General features: G+C 44.7%; 1 protein-coding gene across 26 annotated transcripts in view, besides 3 other annotated features; it reads right to left on the minus strand.

Annotated features, from left to right (window-relative positions):
* Window positions 1–7,354, minus strand: part of CDKL3 (cyclin dependent kinase like 3) — an 88,280-nt gene that overhangs the window by 80,697 nt on the left and 229 nt on the right. For 10 of the 26 annotated variants that reach the window (XM_024446091.2, XM_017009532.2, XM_017009536.2 and 7 more), the window contains exon 1: window positions 2,318–3,130. The exons of 2 other annotated variants lie outside the window; for them this stretch is intronic. In XM_024446091.2, the coding sequence (XP_024301859.1) occupies window positions 2,318–2,482 (165 nt within the window). In that variant the 5' untranslated portion in view covers window positions 2,483–3,130. Of the gene's footprint in view, window positions 1–2,317; window positions 3,131–6,956; window positions 7,003–7,354 lie in introns of those variants that run through there. 14 more of the 26 variants (NM_001349366.2, NM_001349365.2, NM_001349364.2 and 11 more) reach the window with 5 other exon arrangements.
* Window positions 6,647–7,242: an enhancer, noted in NCBI's record as "NANOG-H3K27ac-H3K4me1 hESC enhancer chr5:133706379-133706974 (GRCh37/hg19 assembly coordinates)". NCBI's record gives its function as "activates a minimal SCP1, AML or CMV promoter by ChIP-STARR-seq in naive H9 embryonic stem cells {active_cell/tissue: H9 hESC(naive)}" and the evidence as "EXISTENCE:reporter gene assay evidence [ECO:0000049][PMID:30033119]".
* Window positions 6,751–6,820: an enhancer, noted in NCBI's record as "active region_23142". NCBI's record gives its function as "activates an Ori minimal core promoter by ATAC-STARR-seq in GM12878 lymphoblastoid cells {active_cell/tissue: GM12878}" and the evidence as "EXISTENCE:reporter gene assay evidence [ECO:0000049][PMID:35858748]".
* Window positions 7,291–7,340: a silencer, noted in NCBI's record as "silent region_16357". NCBI's record gives its function as "represses an Ori minimal core promoter by ATAC-STARR-seq in GM12878 lymphoblastoid cells {active_cell/tissue: GM12878}" and the evidence as "EXISTENCE:reporter gene assay evidence [ECO:0000049][PMID:35858748]".

The following is a 7,354-nucleotide window of genomic DNA, read 5'->3' on the forward strand; positions in this document are numbered from 1 at the left end:
TATTATTTTTGTATCAGATAAAGCAAACAAGAACATCTGCTGCATATGAAACAGCTATACTATATCGTCAAGATCATAAACCTTAAAGGATGTAAATAGATTCCAATAAATAGAATACATACTTATTTAAATATTTTTAAAATCATTAATTTTCTACCCCAACCCTAAGGAATGTTAATGCTCCTTTCTCCACACTCCTCAGTTGTTTCTCCTGGGCTGAACTGTCACACCTACATAGGATTCTGTCTTCTTCCCTGATCTCTCCTGATATTGTTCCTCATTTCTAAAAGCCTACTGGTAATCTTTACTTAAATGTACTCCTGTCACCTCAAATTCAACATTTCCAAAATTGAAGTACTTCCCAAACCATGTCTCTTTTGAGTCTTTCGTATTTCTATCAATTGTATCAATCACTGAACCTCAGAGACCTTTGACTCCTTCTATAGTCTTTCTATAGTCTTCTACACTCTTTCATGTCTTTTTTTTTTTAGACAAGGTGTTGCTCTGTTGCCCAGGCTGGACTGCAATAGTGTGATCTCGGCTCACTGCAACCTCCTCCTCTTGGGTTCAAGCAATTCTTCTGCCTCAGCCTCCCGAATAGCTGGGATTACAGGCATGCACTACCATCCCCGGCTAATTTTTGTATTTTTAGTAGAGATGGGGGTTTCACTACATTGGCCAGGCTGGTCTCGAACTCCTGACCTCAGGTGATCTGCCTGCCTCAGCCTCCCAAAGTTCTGAGATTACAGGCGTGAGCCACAGCGCCCTTTTTTTTTTTCTTTTGAGATGGAGTCTCACTCTGACGCCCAGGCTAGAGTGCAGTGGCGTGATCTCGGCTCACTGCAACCTCCACCTTCTGGGTTTGAGCGATTGTCGTGCCTCAGCCTCCTAAGTAGCTGGGATTACAGGGGCGCGACACTATGCCTGGCTAATTTTTTTTTTTTTTTTCCTTTTCTTTTGAGACAGAGTCTTGCTCTGTCGCCCAGGCTGGAGTGCAGTGGCGCTGTCTTGGCTCACTGCAAGCTCCGCCTCCCGGGTTCACGCCATTCTCCTGCCTCAGCCTCCGCAGTAGCTGGGACCACAAGCACCCGCCACCTCGCCCGGCTAATTTTTTGTATTTTTTAGTAAAGACGGGGTTTCACCGCGTTAGCCAGGATGGTCTCGATCTCCTGACCTCGTGATCCACCCGCCTCAGCCTCCCAAAGCGCTGGGAGCGTGAGCCACCGCACCCGGCCTTAATTTTTTTTGTTTAATTTTTAGTAGAGACGGGGTTTCACTATGTTGTCCAGGACGGTCTTGAACCCCTGACCTCAGGTGATCCACCCGCCTCGGCCTCTCAAAGTGCTGGGATTACAAGCGTGAGCCACCGCACCCGGCCTCATGTCTTTTTTTTTTGTTTTTTACAATACAGCATGTTCTAACTTTACTTTTCATTCACATTGCTGCATTTTAGCAAGGGTCCTCAGACATTTTCCAAAATTCCTTAATTGAACTCCTAACAGACCTATTTTTACTCTTAGTCCTCCAATCTATTCTGCACAATAGTGGTAGATTAAAATTTACATTTCTTTACACTGAATTCAAAACCTTCACGACTTTCCACCTCTTACAAAATCAAGTTTTGACTCCTTAGCCTAAAAGACTTTAAAATCTACCTCCAATTTACTGTTCTAATATACCTCTTTCCAATTCTGCTCAGAAAACTCTACAGGCACATGTCTTTGCTCTTTGTCCTTTCCACTTTGCCCTTTATCCTTTGTCCTTCTTTAGTCTCTTTTGAGTTTATGTTGTTCCTCTAACCTAGAACACAACAGTTTCTCCCTCTTATCTAAACCCTCCACATCCTTCAAAGCCAAATTCATGTCCCATTTCCTCAAAAAAACTTTCCCTACCAGGGAAAGGACTTTGTGTTGATTCCTTGGCATTTATTATGAGCCACTTTTTATTCAGTATGATTTTCATATACTCTCCTTTCTGATTAAATTATAGAAGTCTTTAAGGGCAGGAACTATCTTTTACCTCCTTATAGTCTCAGTACCTAGCACCATGCCTTGCACATAGCAGAAATTTTTATTAAGTATTATACTTGAATATTTCTGAATAATTATTAAACAATATTGGTGTAGCTTTTGTTACATACCCCAAAACACATATATCTTGTATCACTATAAAATTACAAAATGTAGATAAGATAGAGTATTACACTTGTTTCTCCATAATATGAATCAGTACGTGTGAACTAAAATATTTTATGCAATTTTTTATTCCATAACAATTTTTTCTTTTGACTTAGATGATTAAGGCAAAAGAAGCAAACCTTTAGAAACTTTATTTCTCTCATCGCAATTTTGTTGACAGATTGTTCTGGTCTCTCATAAAATATCTTAATGGCCACTATCTGCCCAGTATTCTTATGTTTACATTTCATGACTGTTCCGTAACTTCCCTCTCCCACTTTTCCAAGGGTTTCATACATCTCCATTTTCAAGCTGGGCTTTTACTACTTTATAGAAATAAAGAAAGAAAATGGAAAATGTTAAACGTTTATACTTTTATTTATTAAAACTAGATAATGCATATCCACAATAAACCCACAGTCTCAAATATAGAGACATTAAAAAAAAAAAAGGAATCTTTTCCACTGAGCCTTTTTGTCTTTGGGAACTAAAGACAGCTTGAGTAAGGTGTCCTTCTGAGGCTCCACCTCTCACCAGAACTTAGGGGTACTCCTGCTGTCTCGGTCATGCCCATCAACACTGAGACTACCACACTATAAGTCACCATCCATCAAGCATGGGGTCCCTACACTTCCTGTCATGTTCCTGTCAAATAATAGGTTCCCGCACTACTGCAGTCGCCCACTTATCAGGCCCAAGGTCCTAAAAAAAGCCTGGTCTCGCCCGCAACTCAAACCACACGTCTTAGGATGCCGGACCGGCGTCACGCCCCACGTCCCGCTGTTGACTTTATCCAAACAGCCGCCGCCGCCTCAGCCCATTCTGTGGTCCCGCTGGTCTGGCTCTGCGTAGTTCCAGTGGAGCCACCGAACACTGATACTACTTTGTTGCTCAGCCCCGCAAGGAACCGGCCACTTGCCACCATGGAAACGCCGGCGGAGTTGCTGCGTTCTAGACTCGTGCGCAAGACCGGAACATGGGCAGGGTCCCGACCCGGAAGGGGAAGTGGGAAGAAACGGAAACCTACTCTGGGTAGGCGCAAGGTGGAAGAGTGCTGTGCTTGGGAATGGGGGAGGGGAGTACAGATTGCTGTCGCAGCTGAGCCTCCTCACAAGGTTGCTTTTGAATGTGGATAGGAAGGATCTGCATCTTTTTTTTTTTTTTTTTTTTTTTTGAGATAGTCTAGCTCTGTCGCCCAGGCTGGACTGCAGTGTCGCTGATCTTGGCTCACTGCAACCTCCTCCTTCCAGGTTTAAGTGATTTTCCTGCCTCAGCCTCCCGAGTAGCTGGGATTACAGGCGTGTGCCACCACGCCCGGATAATTTTGTATTTTTAGTAGAGACGGGGTTTCTACCATGTTGGCCAGGCTGGTCTCGAACTCCCAACATCAGGTGATCCGCCTGCCTCGGCCTCCCAAAGTGCTGGGATTACAGGCGTAAGCCACCGCCCCCGGTCAAGATGGTTCTTAAATCAAAAACTTTTCTTGAACACTTGCCATATGCCTTTTAATTTTTTCCAACTGCTAGTAATCTTTTTTAAAGAAAAAAAACCTCCCTCACCACATGTCAAACTCTAGGAAAGCAAGTAATTCGAAGAGTTCCACCATATACGAAATGATGTACAAGAGCACGGAAATAAAGAGGCCAGTGTCTAACTGCTTAAGTAGACATAGAGTTCAACTGGAATGACAGTCCCTAATGAATAACCACCATATCACTAGACCAAGTGCCTAGGGAGTGCTTTCTTTATTGAATAGGGCTTTCTTTGCTTTCTTCTATAAAATGAGTTAAATGTAAAAAAGCGAAATCTCGCTATGCTTCCGCTAAATAAGAGGAAAGGCATTATTTAATAAATCTAGTCTGGTGGGTCCCACCCAGCATGCATATTTAAATCACACCTGGAGAGCTTTTAGAAAGCATCCCAACCCCCACCTCCACACCCCTGCCCCAATGCCAGAGCACCTGATTTAATTGGGATAGCGTAAATAAATTAGTATTTTTGAAGCTTCTCAAGTTTTTTCTATGCTGCTAGGGTTTATATTGAGAGAAAGGAGAAGTGGTCATCGTTTTCATTGATCACCTAAAATATTCAGAATTGTCTTTTCTTTGAAGGTTATTCAGACGGGCGCAGTGGCTAACGCCTGTAATCCCAGCACTTTGGGAGGCCCAGGCGGGCGGATCACGAGGTCAGGAGATCGAGACCATCCTGGCTAACACGGTGAAACCCCATTTCTACTAAAAAATAGAAAAAATTAGCTGGGCGTGGTGGCGGGCGCCTGTAGTCCCAGCTACTCGGGAGGCGGAGGCAGGAGAATGGCGTGAATCCGGGAGGCGGAGCTTGCAGTGAGCGGAGATCGCACCACTACATTCCAGCCTGGGTGGCAGAGCGAGACTCCATCTCAAAAAAAAAAAAAAAAAAAAAAAGAAAGTTATTCAACCACAATATAAAATACCTTCTATAAATAAGAATGTCATAGTAAATCTTATAGTGGGCTCAAACTTGGTGTAAGCATATTATTTGTTGTGGGCTAAATATTTGCAAGGAGGCTGCGCACAGTGGCTCACACCTGTAATCCCAGGGAGGCCAAGGTGGGCAGATCACTTGAGCCCAGGAGTTCCAGACCAGCCTGGGCAAGAGGGCAAAACTCCATCTCTACAAAAAATTAGCCGGGCATGGTGGTGCACACCTGTGGTCCCAGCTACTTGGGCGTCTGAAGGAGAATTACTGGAGCCCAGAAGGTCAAGGCTGCAGTGAGCCCTGTTCACACCACTGCACTCCAACCTGGGTGACAGAGCAAAACTCTGTCTCAAAAAATAAAAAAATTTGCCCAGGACAAAGATGAACCAAACTGAGTCCCTGCCCTCAATGAACTCATAATCCAGAGCTACAGAACTGATAACAGCATACAGTTAATAGCTTTAAAATTATTCCTTCTACAAGTAGGTTATGGCAGGCCTGGTTAACAAGGACAGCCAGTGATTCTTGCTAATACACAGCTGTAAGACTTTATGATGCACATTCACTGAATCAGTTAAAAGTGTTATATCATTTTGGAAAATAATAAACTGTTTCCAAAACAATTATAAATCCCTGTAGTCTCTGAATTCCTTACCTCTATTGCCTCCAGTTCCCATCTTCAGGACTTCGTTGGTGGGTCAGGAGGACTCTGAGCACTTTTGTATCCATTCGTCAGCTCAACAGGGAAAGAGGGGGTAGGAGGAGGACCTCAGCATTGCCCTAATCTTGCCCATAGTTCCATGGAACCAGAAAGGGTTAACTTTTCCCACTTTCCTTGTACCTCCCTTTCTTCAAACCCTGAATTCTGTCTCTGCTTTCAGTGACTGCCTTGACTGATAAATTACAAGGGTTTTTTTGGTTGTTGCGGGATTTTTTTGAGGCAGGGTCTCAGTGGCATGATGATGGCTCACTGCAGCTTCAACTTCCTCGTCTCAAGCGATTCTTCTGCCTCAGCCTCCTGAGTTGCTGGGACTATTGGTGTGCGCCACCATGCCTGGCTAATTTTACTTTTTGTAGAGACAGGATCTCCTATGTTGCCCAGGCTGGTCTTCAACTCCTGGCCTCCCAAAGTATTAGGATTACAGGCATGAGCTAATGCCCCAGCTCATGAGGGATATTTTTAAGATATAGTTTCTCTTTACCATTTTTCTCCATGTAACCCTACCTGTGTGTCTTCCTCCTTTGCTATTGGAAGGGTTAGGACTGCAATGGCAGAAAGGCAAAAAAATTAAGAATATTCAGCTTTTAACTTAAAAAACACATTGCGAATGTCTAACAGGACCTATCAAGAGTTAGGCCTGGCTAACCTGATCACCAAGGCAGTCACTGGAAGCAGAGAGGGAATTCAGGGTTTGAAGAAAGAGGTACAAGGAAAGTCAGAAAAGTTAACTCTGCTTCCATGGAATCAGGGGCAAGGCTGAGGCAATGTTAAGGTCCTCATTCCACCCTCCCTTTACCTGTTGAACTGAACAGTTCCCCAAATGGATACAAAAGTACTCAGAGTCCTTAGTATAACAAAGTCCTGAAGGTAGGAATTGGAAGCAATAGAGGGAAGGACGGTGACCACAGAAAATATTCAAGGTCTTTGGGAGGTCAACACCTCTGAACCCCCTGGTGGTGGGGGGCCCTTCTGGCCCATTTGCACCTTTCTTGCTAGTGTAGAAAACCTGAAGTTATCTCAGGCTAGATATATAACCCTCACTCATGTCTGCCGGAGCTCTCCCCCAGAATATGAATCATATTTGTAGGTTTCTTTGACAACCAACCACTCATTGATATGCTTGGAAGACTGCACCCCCACATTCCTTAAAAATACAATGGTACTCCCCCACCATAGGCAAGTCCCCGGACTCTGACACATATCTTCAATTGAAAGCAGACCCAGAAAGGAAAAACTGCATAATACACCATCCTTTAATATTTGCCCAGAATTTCCAATACTAGAAACCCCACTGCAAAGCAGAAAGACTATCTGGTAGCTTCAAGGAACCATTTCAGGAGATTGTTGTGTGGGCCTCAGTATTCAAGGCTGCCTTAGAAGATCGTGCGATCCTCTCACTCTTCTTGCCCCAAGTACCAGAGTTAATAAGCCACTGAACCAACCAGAGGGGAATTATTTTTGGTCCCGGTTTAAAGAAAACAAAACAAGCTGTTGATTCTGCCATGACCTCTTGGGTAATGTTGTCTCTATACCTGTGATAAACAGAAAACAACTAATAAAGGTTTATCCCGCCCTCACCCTCTTAAACCCGCTTCACAGACCTGGCTGAAACTCACATCCAGGCGAGGCGCTCACGTGACCCGTTCTAAACGCGTCATAGGGACACGTGGTTCTAGATACTTCTCCCCCTCCCACTCAGGGGTGGATTGTTGACAAGGCCGCGGGCAGTCACGTGATCTTACATCATCCCACCTCCTTTCCCTGAAATCTCTGGCCCGGATGCGTCCCTCTTTCTCCACCCCGCCGAGCCTAAACTAGTGACGGGGAGGGAGACGGGATAGTGTTTCTGTTTCGTGGTCTTTGAATCCACAACCTCTAGTCTGAACACAGAGAACACAAATTTGTCTATTACTTCAGGAAGCCCAGGGGGAACCGCGCCCCGCTGAAGGGCTCGGGGAAGGCGCGCTCCCGCGTCCCGCCCCCTCCTCCCCCAGCACTC

The sequence above is a fragment of the Homo sapiens genome, chromosome 5 (assembly GCF_000001405.40).
Source record: "Homo sapiens chromosome 5, GRCh38.p14 Primary Assembly".
Lineage (NCBI taxonomy): Eukaryota > Metazoa > Chordata > Mammalia > Primates > Hominidae > Homo > Homo sapiens.